We start from the raw sequence: 15372 nt of genomic DNA on the forward strand, positions 1-15372 counted from the left end.
TTATAACCTCTTGATGAATTAATTCCTTAATCATTACACAATGTTCTTTATCACCAGAAATATTTCTTGCTCTGAAATCTTTGTTTATATTAATACAGGCACTTCACATTTCTTCTGATTATTATTTGCATGCTGTATTTTTTTTCTATCCTTTTCCTTTTAACCTCTGTGTCTTCATATTTAAAATAGGTTGCTATTTTACATTAGGAAACCTACTTAATTTTATCCGACAATCTTTGTCTTCTCATTGGAATGTACAAACCATTTATATTTAATGTTTATCAACACAGGTGGGTTTAAATCTCCTATCTTGCTGTTTGTTTTCTATTTGTCCCATCTGTACCTTACAGACCCATACACTGCATAACTAAAAAGGACTTTAGAGTTAATCTAGCTCAACCACCTCATTTTACAAAAGAAACTTGGAGGATCAGAAAGATTATTTGACATGCTCACAGTCACACAGCTAAGTGTGACCATATAAACAACCAAAAAACAAAAACTCAATTCTCCTGCTTGAGTTAATCCACCACGTTTTCAATATACCATTCCTAAGTGTCATGTTAAACATGAGAATAAATAACCTCAAGGGGCCTTTCAGGATGAGAGTACCAATCTGCTGAAATATAATTTACATTTACATACAGATTGTGCCCTCTCACACACACTACCCACTTGGGGATATATATATTATATATATAATATGTAATATGTAATATATATAATATGTAACATACATATATGTTATATATATATATAATATACAATATTATATATATGTATATAAATATATAAACACAGGCTGGTCTCAAACTCCTGACCTCAGGTGATCCACCTGCCTCAGCCTCCCAAAGCACTGGGATTACAGGTGTGAGCCACTGCGCCTGGCCACAAATTGTTTTTAATTTAAAAAATAAAATCAAATTGAGACGAGGCCTCACTATGTTGCCCAGGCTGGCCAACATGGTGAAACCCCGCCTCTGCTAAAAATACAAAAAATTAGCCAGGCGTGGTGGCACACAGCTGTAGTCCCAGCTACTTGGGAGGCTGAGGCAGGAGAATCGCTTGAATCCAAGAGACAGAGGCTGCAGTGAGCTGAGATGGTGCCACTGCACTCCAGCCTGGGCGAAAGAACAAGACTCCATCTCAAAAAAAAAAAAAAAAAAGAAAAACAATTTGTGGTAGAAATATCTTTGGCTAAACTATGTTTAGCCTAAAGTTTATAACAGCTTTTAGCTCACTCTGACTGCTTTTCAAAACAAAAGAAGATATACATGAGGGAGTTTTCATAAATGACAGAGTATCTTACTTTGCCAACAAGAGCAGGAATGTTCATTGAATTCGTTGCAAATCCCATGCCATACGCCATAGCAGCTTCTACTCCTAAGAACCTTGCTACAAGCTCCTCTAGTTCTTCATGCTTGTCCAGGTTTCCTGTGTGAAGAAGTTAATAAAGTCAGTATCACAAAATCCTGAATTTAAGAATTACTCATCACTTTATTAAAAGAAATCATAGTATATGTGTTGTGTCCTTTTCAGACTAAGATCTATGAAGGAGTCAATATTATGAAGAGTAATATTCTTCATAATATTGTGAAGAGTAATATGTGCTCATAAAGAACACAATAGTTGAATAAAATCTGATTCAGCACCTGCAGTGGAATTTCCCCAAAGGGGGCTGCGAAAAATTTCTCCCATTCCTGTTTGTGCATACTAGTTCCAGGTCTAGGCCTTAGGAGGCCTAGCAAAATCTGCTTTTACACTTTTGAAGTCAGCTGCTATGTAAAACAATCTAACTGGCCTGTTGCAAAAACAGAACATGGGCGGGGGGATGGGAACTGAGGGATAAGAGACTATGGAAGGAGGAGAGAAAGACGTAAGGAGAGGGGGAGACAGAGAGAAAGAGAAACAGAGATGCCCAGCCAGCCCTTAGCCCTTCCTGCCACCCAGCTGAAGTGTCAAACGTGAGTTAAGACATCTTGGATACCCTGTACACAGTCATAATTGCCTATCCAATACCACATGGAGCTAAGATAACATCAGGCCCTCCCTAAATTGCAGAATCATGAGCAAATAAATCTGTTGCTGTTTTAAACCACTAAGTTTTGAGATGGTTTGTTATACAGCAAAAGATAGGTAAAAACGTTTCTTCCTGGCAGGGTGCAGTGGCTCACGCCTGTAATTCCAGCACTTTGGGAGGCCAAGGAGGGCGGATCACCTAAGGTCAGGAGTTTGAGACCAGCCTGGCAACATGGTGAAACCTTGTCTCTACTCAAAATACAAAAATTAGCCAGGCATGGTGGCGTGTGCCTGTAATCCCAGCTACTCGGGGGCTGAGGCAGGAGAATCGCTTGAACCTGGGAGGCAGAGGTTGCAGTGAGCTGAGATCGCACCACTGCACTCCAGCCTAGGCAACAGAGCGAGACTCTGACTCAAAAAAAAAAAAAAAAAAGGTTCTTCCCTCACTGTGAACTGACTGGTAAATTTGTACCGCAATTTTATATTGGTACTCAAATCTTTAAGGACTAAATGACATTACAGAGAGAAAAGATGCGGGAAAGAAGAATGCTAAACTTGGATGCCATGTGTCCTTAAGGCTTGCTTAATCAAAGCCCTTAGGAACTCTCTGGGCTAAATACTTCTAAATAGCAATAATAATTTGCCCTATCTACCTCATGACATTGTTGTGAGGATCAAAAGAGATAATACGTTTGAGCTTTTTTTCTTTTTTTGAGAGAGAGAGTCTCGCACTGTCGCCCAGGCTGGAGTGCAGTGGCGCAATCTCAGCTCACTGCAACCTCCACCTCCTGGGTTCAAGCAATTCTCCTGCTTCAGCCTCCCAAGTAGCCGGGATTACAGGTGCGGACCACCACGCCTGACTATTTTGTATTTTTAGTAGAGACAGGTTTCACCATGCTGGCCAGGCTGGTCTCAAACTCCTGACCTCAAGAGATCCACCCACCTTGGCCTCCCAAAGTGTTGGGATTACAGGCGTGAGCCACCGCATCCAGCCGAGCACTTTATAAAATATCAAATGCCATAAAGGCATAATGTATCCTTACTATATGTCGCCACTGCACAATGCTCCTTTAACCACAGGATTAGATCACAAGGCTTGTCATTTCTGGAGTGCCAGTTAGAAACTCTGTTTTAAAGGCAGGGGGAAATAAAAATGTTCTACTCCCATCTTCCTCTTGAAAATCATCACAAAACAACTGGATAACCAAGAAATAAAAGCTAAAAGCTCAATTTTTTATTAATTAGTGGACATCTGTAATTCTGAACACAATTAATGAAAATGGAAAATATACAGAAGGATGATGCTACGGGTTCCATTGTGTCCCACCAAAAAAGATATTTTGACGTCCTCATTCCCAGAAGAATGTGACCTTCTTTGGAAACTGGAACTTTCCAGAGGTAATCAAATTAAAATGAGGTCATTCATTGGTTTCAACTTAAAATTAGCACCTAAAAGTAGGGTCAACCTGTCTTTTGAAGCTTTGAAACCAGGCATTGACTTGTCTCTAGCTGTGAAAGTTTTAGATGGTGTCTTCTTTCAATTTAAAGCTGTTTCATCTACATTGAAAATCTGTGATTTATTGTAGCCACCTTCATCAATTATTTTAGCTAGATCTTCTGGATAACTTGCTGAAGTTATCAGCATTCACTGCTTCACCTTGCACTTTTATGTTGTGGGGATGGCTTCTTTCCTTAAGCTTCATGAATGAACTTCTGCTAGGCTTAAGCTTTTCTTCTGCAGCTTCCTTACCTCTTTCAGCCTTGATAGAATTGAAGCGATTAGGATCTTCTTCTGGATTAGATTTGGGTTTAAGGGAATGTTGTGGCTGCTTTGATCTTTTATCCAGACCACTAAAACTTTCTCTCTACCAGCAATAAAAGGCTGTTTCACTTTCTTATAATTTGTGGGTTCACTGGAGTAGCACTTTTAATTTTCTTCGAGAACTTTTTTTGCATTCACAACTTGGCTAATTGCTTGGTGTAAGAGGCCTCGCTTTTGGCCTATGTCAGCTTTTAACATGCCTTCCTCACTAAATTTAATCTCATGGAGGTAGCGAGTAAAACAATACTGGAAGGATGTGTGTTGAGATGAGGTAGGGGGAGCGGGGGAGATGAAGAAAAGCTGGTAAATGGGTACAAATATAGAGTTAGAAGAAATAAGTTCTAATGTTTGATAGCAGAGTAGGGTGACTATAGTTAAAAACAATGTATTGTATATTTCAAATAGCTAGACGAGAGGACTTGATGATCCCAACATATAGAAATAATAAATGCTTGGGGTGACGAGTACCCTAAATACCTTGACTTGATTCTATACACATTCTATACATGTAACAACACATCACATGTACCCCACACAAATGTACAAATGTTATGTATCAATAAAAAATTTTTACAAAGATTTTAAAAATAAATAAATAAATAAATAAATAAATAAATAAAATGAGGCCATTAGGGGGATGCTAATGTCTTTATAGAAAGGGGAAATTTGGACACAGTGATAGACATGCACAGAAGGAATACAGAAGACAATGCTGTTTTTTTGTTTTTCTTGAGACAGAGTCTCACTCTGTTGCCCAGGTGGAGTGCAGTGGTGTGATCTCGGCTCACTGCAACTTCTGCCTCACAGGTTCAAGAGATTCTCGTGCCTCAGCCTCCCGAGTGGCTGGGATTACAGGCGTGCACCTTCCATCACGCCCAGCTAATGTTTGTATTTCCAGTAAAGACAGGGTTTCACCATGTTGGCTAGGCTGGTCTTGAACTCCTGACCTCAAGTGATCTGCCCGCCTTGGCCTCCCAAAGTGCTGAGATGACAGGCATGAGCCACTGTGCCCGGCCAGAAGACGACAATGTTTGACACACAGGAAGACAGCCGTGTGGTGGAGTGATGTGCTATAAGCCAGGGAACGTCATGGATTGCTGTCGACACCAGAAGCTAGGAAGGTTTCTCCAGAGCATCAGACAGCATGGCCCTGCTGACACCTAGACCCCAAACTTATAACCCACAGAATTATGAGACTAGACATTTTTGTTGTTTTAAGTCACTCTGTTCTGATATTTTGTTACAGCAGCCACAGGAAACTAATACAACTGGAAAATGACAGAGTTAGAAGAAGGTCATATCTATGCCCTTATAGAGTGGAATCCTTTGAAAACCAAGTAAATTCACTGTATGGAACCCTAGAGAAGCTTAAAAACCAGAGGGAACAGGTAGCAAAGTAATCAAGGGTTAAAGTTGGGCTACAAACAAGATGACTGGAAGATGATATAAAAATGAATAGGAACCCTCATACATCGATGGAGAGATTGTAAAACAGTACGGTCTCTTTGGAAAACAGTTTAGCAATTCCTCAAAAAGTCAAACACAGAGTTACCATACGACCTAGCAATTCCACTAGTAAGTATAAACCCAAGAGAAACAAAAATATATCATACAAAAACTTGTACACCCACGTTCACAGCAGCACTGCTGACAATAGCCAAAAAGTAGAAACAACCCAAATGACCATCAAGTGATAAGTGGATAAACAAGACGTGGCACCCTCACACAAAGGATTATTATTCAGTCATAGAAAAGAATGGAGTGCTGTTACAGGCTACAACATGGATGAATTTGAAAATATTGTGCTAGTGAAGGAAGCCAGACAGAAAAGACCAAATGTTATACAATTCCTTTTATATTTAATGTCCAAAATAGGCAAATCTATAAAGACAAAAAGTAGACTACTGGTTGCCAAGGACTTGTAGGGGGAAGGGAAACAGTATCCAATGAATGCTACTGAGTATAGCATTTCTTTTAGGAGGAATGAAAATATTTAAAATTAGATGGTGGGGCCAGGCATGGTGACTCACACCTATAATCCCAGTGTTCTGGAAGGCTGAGTTAGGAGAATCACTTGAGGCCAGGATTTCAAGAACACCCTGGGCAACATAGCCTCTTGAAAGAGATCCCCATCTCTACAAAAATCACATTAAAAAATCAGCTGGGCATGGTGGCGTGCACCTATAGTCCTAACTACTTAGGAGGCTGAGGTGGGAGGATGGCTGGAGTACCGAAGTTTGAGGCTGAAGTGAGCTGACTGCACCACCGCACTCCAGCCTGGGCAACAGAGACCCTGCATCCATCTATGCATCAATCTATCTATATATCCATGTATCTAGCTATCTAAATAAATAGATATAAAAATCTGCACAATTTTATTTTTTTCCCTGTCTTCATGTTGTTTTAAATTTCGTGAGCTGACAGAGTTGCTATGGAAGATTAAATATGGATGCAAATTCTTTGTTATTCTTCCCATTTGGAGGTGGAGGAGGGCAATCCCCACAACCCTTGAATCTGGGCTGACCTTAGCGACGCTTTGGCCAATAGAAGAGGCATAAATGATACTTTGGGACCTGTACAGCTAGGGCATAAAAAGCCTTCCAACTTTCAACTGGGTATCCTTGTTTTTGTTTTTTGACACAGTGTCTCACTCTGTCATGGGCTAGGGTGCAGTAGCACGATCATAGCTCACTGCAGCCTCAAACTCCTTGGCTCGAGGGATGCTCTGGCCTCAGCCTCCTGAATGGCTAGGATCACAAGCATGCGCCACCACGTTCGGCTACTTTATCTTTATTTTTTTAGAGAACAGGTCTCACCATGTTGCTCAGACTGGTCTCGAACTCCTGGCCTCAGCTGATCTTCCTATCTTGGCCTCACAAAGTGCTGGGATTATAGGCATGAGCCTCCGTGCCTGGCTTCAGTCAGGTATCTTTGCATGCTTGCTCTAGAGGCCTGCAGCCATGCATGATGAACAACTCTCCAAGACCACCATGGTATGAAGAAACCCAAGCTAGAAACATGGAGAGGCCACACAGAGCTCCAGCCACCGCAGCCTAGGTGAAACATGCGAATGAAGAAGGCTTCATGTCTCCAGCCATACAGCCACCACTGAGTGCAACCGTGAGAGGAACCTTGGGTAAGAAGCACCCAACTGTGCTTGCCAATCCCTAGAACCCTGAGAAATAACTAACAATGAACTGTTCTTTTAATCTACTGTGCTTACAGTAATAAGTATTTGGAAAGTTTTCATAACTTCCAGGGTTGTCAGTTCTCTGAATCAAATTGGAACAATCTGAAATCTTCCGCTGAATTAAAATAAATTGAATCTCTTTATATAAAGTTATTACTCTTTTATATTTTACAAACTTAAAACAATAATAAAAAGAGTTTATATTTATTGTCTACTATGTTCCAAGTACTCTACATGGATTAGCTTACGTAATTCTTAAAAGAGCTCTATAAGGCAGGAATTATTATTAGCCCCCATGTACCAGTATGAAAGCAGATTAACTCTCATATGCCCAACATCCTAATAAGTGGCACTCTTAACCACTAACATTTGCAAAAGCCAATGAAATCAACATTAAAGTTATAAATGAAACAAACACTGGCAGGATTTTTCGAGGGACATTCTATATGTATAACACATTGGGAAAGATAAACACATCTCAAAATGTGTTGAAAGCATTGAAATCATCCATCACACTTCAGAAAAACAAAGCATTCTTCACCTTATCTAAATGACATGACAAAGTGTAGATATTTAATACTCTAGGTCAATATTACTATTATTTGCCCCTGACTAAAACAATGTCAAAAACAGCAGCTGGCCAAATACAGCTTTCACTTACCAATTTCCTGCCGAGTACTGCACACTCCAGCTCCATACTCCTCAAGGACTTTGGCGGCTGCTTCTTGACATGATCCAGTATTCCGTGCAAATCCAAGATAGTTGTAGGAACCCATGTTTATAACACCCTTTATTATATTCCCTGTATACCTGTGCATCAATAGCATAAAACAATGAAACTCATGAGCAAAAAAGTACTTACATGTAATATTAAATGAACTGGTGACACAAAAGGAAGCAGAGAGAACAAAGTCTATATTAAAAAAATCTCAAACACACTACCAATTATGGAAATAGAAGTTAAAATAATCAATTTTCATTTATTAATAGTGATAAAGATTTTAAAACTAATGATATCCAGTGTTGGCCAGGACAATCACCTTATCTTACAGGACACTGTACATAAGAATATCAGGTTTGTTTTTTGGAGGGCAGTTTGGCAGTACTTATCCATTAAAAGATATACATACTCAGTAACTCCCGCACATGAGAATATATACACATGAGGATCCTTTGAGAGCCACTGCACAATTTGCCACATCTGTTCTTCAGATACAGAGACCAGTGACATTTCATACAATGGAAGCTGAGGCAGCCTGGGCCCCTAACTAAGGACAAAATGGTTCAAGGGCCCCACCAACCTAGGATGAACATGAAGTATCGATAAGGATAAACTGTTACTGTTTTAATTCCCTGAGATTTTGAGATTATTAACACAGCCCAACATGTCACACCATGGCACATGTATACTGTAAAATACAATGTAGTCACTACAAATAATAAACTTGCTGTGAATATACACATGAGAAGGGGTGTCACTGATATTTGACCAAGCTAAGAAGGCAAGCTGTAGGCCGGGCACGGTGGCTCACGCCTGTAATCCCAGCACTTTGGGAGGCCGCGGTGGGTGGATCACAAGGTCAGGAGATTGAGACCATCCTGACTAACACAGTGAAACCCTGTCTCTACTAAAAAACACAAAAAATTAGCCGGGTGTGGTGGCAGGAGCCTGTAGTCCCAGCTACTCGGGAGGCTGAGGCAGGAGAATGGCGTGAACCCAGGAGGCAGAGCTTGCAGTAAGCCAAGATGGTGCCACTGCACTCCAGCCTGGGTGACAGAGCAAGACTCTGACACTTTGGGAGGCCAAGGTGGGCAGATCACTTGAGGCCAGGAGTTCGAGACCAGCCTGGCCAACATGGTGAAACCTCATCTCTACTAAAAATACAAAAAGTAGCTGAGCATGGTGGTGCATCTCTGTAGTCCCAGCTACCAGAGAGGCTAAGGTGGGAGAATCACTTGAACTTGGGAGGTGGAGGTTGCAGTGGGCTAAGATTGTGACACTGCACTCCAGCCTGGGCAACAAAGCGAGACTCTGACTCAAATAAATGAATAAGTAAACAAACAAACAAATACAATGTTAAAAATACAAAAAGTTTTCCAAACTATTCAATCCATGTAAGTAAAAACACTCTACATATCATCCTTAAATCATTTGAGAAATCAAAATATCCAGAAATAAATTTGGATACTTGATTCTGATAAGTGGCATAATGGAAAGGATAGCTTTTCTTTTTTTTTTTTTTTAAAGTCAAGACCAAAAATAAAACAGACTAAACTTTTGTATACTGTTTCTTATCAATAGGAGTTATTTTTAAAAATAAAGAAGCCAGGCTGGGCGCGGTGACTCATGCCTGTAATCCCAGCACTTTGGGAGGCTGAGGGGGACAGATCACTTGAGGTCAGGCATTCGAGACCAGCCTGGCCAACATGGTGAAACCCCATCTCTACTAAAACAAATACAAAAATTAGCTGGGTGTGGCGGTGCATGCCTGTAGTCCCAGCTACTCGGGAGGCTGAGGCATGAGAATTGCTTGAACCTGGGAGGCGGAGGTTGCAGTGAGCTGAGATCACGCCACTGCACTCCAGCCTGGGTGACAGAGCGAAACTCCATCTCAAAAAATAAATAAGCCAAATTTTCTTCTGAACTATAATCCAACACAGTATCAAATGTAATAGAAAGATATATCTTAAAAAGCTCAACAATGAAGAATATGTAAGGAAACCAATCATATTGTATCCTCAGCTGCTACTCCTATTTTGAGAGAATACTCAATTTATAATAACATATTTTCTCAAATGAAGAAACCCTTTTGTAATTGTTGTCAAATAATTTCCCAACCAAGACTCACTTGAAGGACCAGTTATAATCATGAGACTGTCTCTCCATGATGTCCACCCTGGCTCCAGGCACACTACAGATTGGCCGATTCCAGTTGTCTCTTATCCTCATGTACAGATTCCTTGTATAAAAGTTTTCAAAATCTTGATACAATGACACAAAGTCCTGCCAAGAAATGGTGACATACCATAAATTTAACTGAGTTACTTTATTAAAAAATTTTTTAACAGATGACATGATCTTTTATTTATGTAAATTTATGGGGTATAAGGGCAATTTCATTACGTGCAAGATTGTGTAATGGACAAGTCAGGGATTTTACGGTATCAGTCATTCAAATAACACACATGGTACCCATTAAGTAATTTCTCATCATCCACCCTCACTCCCTCACCCTTCCAAGTCTCCACTGTCTATCATTCCACTGAGTTACTTTAAAAACAAACTTTACAACTTCCATTTTCATACTGTAAGAGCACCTGAGAATGAGAGGCCACTTATATTTAATTAACTGCTAAATCAGGACAGGCTTGGTGGCTCACGTCTGTAATCCCAGGACTTTAGAAAGCCAATGCAGGAGGACTGCTTGAGCTCAGGAGTTCGGGACAAGCCTGGGCAACATAGCGAGACTCTGTCTCAACAAAAACATTTTAAAAATTAGCCAGGTGCAGTGCACCTGTAGTCCCAGCTACTCGGGAGGCTGAGGCAGGGAGATCCCTTGTGCCCAGTAGATTGGGGCTGCAGTGAGCTATGATGGCACCACTGTACTCCAAGCTGGATAACAGCAAAAACAACAACAAAAAAAACCCTGATGTATCAGGAAAACATCTGGAAAGGCATCAATTCTCTATGATTATTTTAACACAACTCTTATCAGATAAAAGTCACTTAACTTTAATAGTTGACATATATTACATGGTTTCAAATAACTGACTTCATGAATGTAGAGCACAAGAATGTAAATTAACAAAGTAGTCCTCATAAAAATAAAATGTAGTCATACAATTCTGTCATTAAATGGTTTCCCTCCCTAATAATCTCAAAAAGACGGCTCTTCCCTCCCCACAAGCCTCCTCCCACATTAATAGATTAGGGGAAATGCCATAAAAACCACATAATTCCAATTTCAACCAAGAAAAACAATTCCAAAATTAAGATTCCATCCTTTGCATATTTTCAAGGATCAAAATGAAACAAATCCAAAGAGAAAATAATAAACAAGAAACACTATAAAATAGGATATAGGGGCCGGGTGTGGTAGCTCACACCTGTAATCCCAGCACTTTGGGAGGCCGAGGTGGGTGGGTGGGAAGATCACTTGAAGTCTCAGGAGTTCAAGACCAGCCTGGCCAACATGGCGAAACCCATCGCCACTAAAAATACAAAAATTAGCTGGGCATGGTGGCGGGTGCCTGTAATTCCAGCTACTCGGGAGGCTTGAGGCAGCAGAATCGCTTGAACCTGGGAGGCAGAGGTTGCAGTGGGCCGTGGTCACTGCACTCCAGCCTGGGCAACAGAATGAGACTCCATATCAAAAAAAAAAAAAAATGGTTATAGGAAGCCACCCACCTTAGGTTCTTTTCCCTTTAGAAAGGAATTTTTTAAAAAAGAAAAAAAAAAAAAAAAAAAGAGGCCAGGTACAATGGTTCATGCCTGTAACCCCAACACTTCGGGAAGCTAAGGTGGAAGGATCGCTTGTGGCCAGGAATCTGAAGTGACAGTAAGCTATGACTACACCACTGCACTCCAGTCTGTGCAACAGAGCGAGAACCTGTCTCAAAAAGAAAAGAAGGCAGGACACAGTGGTTCATGCCTGTAGTCCCAACACTTGGGAGGCTAAGGCGGGAAGATCACTTGAGCCCAGGAGTTCAAGACCAGCCTGGGCAACATAGTGGGACTCTGTCTCTACAAATAAATTTTTAAAAAGAAAGAAAAGAAAATACATTCCCAAAATGAATTCCTATGCTCAGGAACTTAACCCTTCCTCTGAGAGATTAAGTTGTACTAAAACTTAAGTCTGTAAAAAATCAAGTCACAGCGGAGCAGAAATGCTATGCCTGGTGTGGTATGACCACTACTCAGAACACATGTGACCAGACCATATGAGATCTACTTAAACTCTTGAATGTAAAGGGTAAACCAAACAACAAGAAAACGAAACTACAGTTTTTACTGTATCAGCCAACTACTGAGTTTATAACCATTAGATCTGGGCTTGGTGCCAATATAAATTAAGCTGTTAACTAAATCAGTCAAAAACATTGAAAAAGCTTAAGCCTTATTCTGTAAAAGATTTTCATTGCTAAAGAAGGCTGCATACAACTCTAAAATTAACAACTTTCTATGACACCGGACTCTCAAGTGCCTATTGAATGAGCCTCCCAGTAGATAAATCTTATAAATAAGGCTGAGCAAAGTCAGAAGCTACTCTAAGAATTTGCAGTACCTGATACCATCTCTCTTTTTTTTTTTTTTTTTTTTTTGAGGCAGAGTTTCACTCTTGTTGCCCAGGCTGGAGTGTAATGGTGTGATCTCGCCTCACTGCAACCTCTGCCTCCCAGGTTCAAGCGACTCTCCTGCCTCAGCCTCCCAAGTAGCTGGGATTACAGGACTCTGCCACCATGCCCAGCTAATTTTTTGTATTTTTATTAAAGACGGGGTTTCACTATGTTGGCCAGGTTGCTCTCAAACTCCTGACCTCAGGCGATCCACCCACCTCGGCCTCCCAAAGTGCTGGGATTAAAGGTGTGAGCCACCATGCCCAGCCACCATCTCTTTTACAACTGGTTCTAATAGTTAATTTTCCTCAGGACAGAAAATATTCATAAATAACATGTCTATCACAATTGGAAATTTTTCATTTAAATGGCATGTCCATTTTGATAGCCTTCCAACAAGTATACTGGTTGAATGAAAATAGGAATAGAGATATCCAATTCTAATTAAAACTTTTTATTTGGCTGTTATTATCCATGCATTTATTTCCCAAAGGAAAAAACAAAAAGTAGTCTTCAATCCTTTTCATTCATGTAAAAAAGGGTAACAGTACTAACGCTTCTAATGAAGGAAATGACAGTACTGATTATCTCATTTCTTTTTTTTAATTAAAAAAAAAAATTTTTTTTTGAGACAGAGTCTCACTCTGTCACCCAGGCTGGAGTGCAATGGTGTGATCTCGGCTCACTGCAACCTCCGCCTCCTAGGTTCAAGTGATTCTCCTGTCTCAGCCTCCCAAGTAGCTGAGATTACAAGTGCCCGCCACCACACCTGGCTAATTTTTGTATTTTTTAGCAGAGACAGTGTTTCACCATGTTGGTCAGGCTGGTCTTGAACTCCTGACCTCAAAGGATCTGCCTGCCTCAGCCTCCCAAAGTGCTGAGATTACAGGCATGAGCTATGGCGCCCGGCCAATCTCATTTCTTTATAATCTTTCTAAACACTGCACATTAATGTTCAAAGTATTAACTCCAATATTAAGAGAAATATTTCCTTACAGACAAATTTTTATTAGCAACAAAAGCAATATTTTTTGTTTTACTATATAAAACAGAAAAACCTTAGAGTCTGCTCCAAATACCAGAGGGATTATCAAACCCCAAGATAGAAAAAAGACTGCAGGCCAGAATGAAGTAGAGCTTCACCCCTCAGCCTTGGGCTAAACAAAGAAAACCAGAGGCACAGCTGTCTGGGATTAGGAAGGAAGCAATGGGTTCCAATTTCCTGAACAAAGAATTGTGCCTGCCATGGTCAGGCATTTCCATCTCTCCTTAACAAGTGATTAAGTCACAGTAGCACAGGGTAAAGGAGGAGAAGCTGTCACAACCAGGGATGTTAGGGACCAAAAGCGGGTGGCATAGAATGGTAGGAGAGAGGGACTTACGGCCGAAATCTCAGCTCCCCTTTACTCCTTAGCTAAGCTCCAGGGTAGTAGCTCTGATCTCAGTCAGTAGGTTCAGCAGAAAGATTTGATAGGCATGGCTGGGCGCAGTGGCTCACGCCGTAATCCCAGCACTTTGGGCTCAAGGCGGGTGGATCGCTTGAGCCCAGGAGTTTGAGACCAGCCTGGGCAATGTAGTGAAACTCTGTCACTACAAAAAATACAAAAATTAGCCAGGTGTGGTGGCATGTGCCTGCAGTCCCAGCAACGTGGGAGGCTGAGGTGGACAGATCACTTGAGCTCAGAAGGTTGGGGCTGTAGTGAGCCAAGATCGGACCACTGCACTTTAGCCTGGGCAATAGAGTGAAAAGCTGTCTCAATAAATAAATAAATAAATAAATAAATAAATAAATAAATAAAAATAATAATTTTAAAAAAGATGAGAAGGGCAGCAAACCAAACTCCCTGCAGCTTAGCCATGAAAAAAAGGAGGGGAGGGGTCACTACTTGCAGTTCCAGTTCTAGGCAATGGGAGTGTATTTCCAAAAATATCAGGTTAACTTTAAACACTCTAAGACCACAGTTAAACTAGGGGGGTAATCTTTTCATTCATTCATTCAAATATATCTTAGTGAGTACTCGATACATACTGGGTTGTATGCCAGACTTTCAGGATACGTTAAAGAACAAGACAGTTCTCTCCGCAAAGAGTGATAGCCCCACTATTCCGACCCTCATTCCCCCATCTCCACCACTCTCTTCCTCCTCCTCAGTTTGGTCACTGTGAAGTGACTTTAGTTAAGGCTTATGTAATACTCATCATCATTGACCTAATACTCAGTTATTGAACATTTACTGAGCAGTACCTTCCAGGCACTAAACTGGGCACTGGGAATAAAAATGAGTAAGAACAACCTCTACACTCCCTAAGAACTCTTAGTGTAGTGGAGAAACACACAAATAAATACAATATAATAAGTACTATAAAAGAGTGTTTGTCCAGAGAAGGAGCGAATACCTAACTGATAAGGGAGTGACAATGGTAAAGTCAAGTCCAAGCAGCCTTAAGGATATACTCATAAACATTCTTCCTGAAGATCCTCACAAATCCCATATCCTAGCACATGTAAGGAGAGGGAAAACAATACCTACTCGCGACTAAATGCTGGATCACTGGGCTTGAAATACTCCTCACTTAAGAGCCTTCTCAACTCAAGAGAACAACTCAAACTCTTGGATTTGCTGCTTAGAGATCAATGAAGACCTTATCAAAAGTAGTCTAGGGACATCTCAATAAGAAGCCAATAAATATCCTTTACTGGTTAAGCCTATTTAAGGTAAGCCTTCTAGAAAATATCCCATATTGTTTAATATAATATACATAAGTACCACCTATTGTAGCACCTATACAGGCATTAAGAACACAGGGGGCAAAGCTGGATGCTATCACTTTTTGAAGTCCACTTTCTAACAACTGTCCCTTTGTTAAGCATCATTCTGGTCCAACACAGATAGTCAAATATGTTTACATGATGATGATAAAGATGATGAATAATCACAACAGCAGCAAGAGTGCCCATCTACTGAGTATTTATGACATACCAGGCACTTGCCAAGTGCTTTAC

The 15372-nt window shown here is 40.6% G+C and overlaps 1 protein-coding gene across 2 annotated transcripts in view, besides 1 other annotated feature; it reads right to left on the minus strand.

Annotated features, from left to right (window-relative positions):
• SPTLC2 (serine palmitoyltransferase long chain base subunit 2) overlaps nucleotides 1–15372 on the minus strand; it is a 110641-nt gene that overhangs the window by 63078 nt on the left and 32191 nt on the right. For both annotated transcript variants that reach the window (NM_004863.4, XM_011537384.3), the window contains exons 3-5: nucleotides 9881–10035; nucleotides 7693–7841; nucleotides 1310–1434 (exon numbers count right to left, since the gene is read on the minus strand). In NM_004863.4, coding sequence (NP_004854.1) covers nucleotides 1310–1434; nucleotides 7693–7841; nucleotides 9881–10035 — 429 coding nt within the window. The remainder of the gene's footprint in view (nucleotides 1–1309; nucleotides 1435–7692; nucleotides 7842–9880; nucleotides 10036–15372) is intronic.
• Nucleotides 14778–14978: a silencer, noted in NCBI's record as "peak2208 fragment used in MPRA reporter construct". NCBI's record gives its function as "represses an SCP1 promoter by STARR-seq MPRAs in K562 erythroleukemia cells {active_cell/tissue: K562}" and the evidence as "EXISTENCE:reporter gene assay evidence [ECO:0000049][PMID:32103011]".

Source organism: Homo sapiens, chromosome 14, assembly GCF_000001405.40.
Source record: "Homo sapiens chromosome 14, GRCh38.p14 Primary Assembly".
Lineage (NCBI taxonomy): Eukaryota > Metazoa > Chordata > Mammalia > Primates > Hominidae > Homo > Homo sapiens.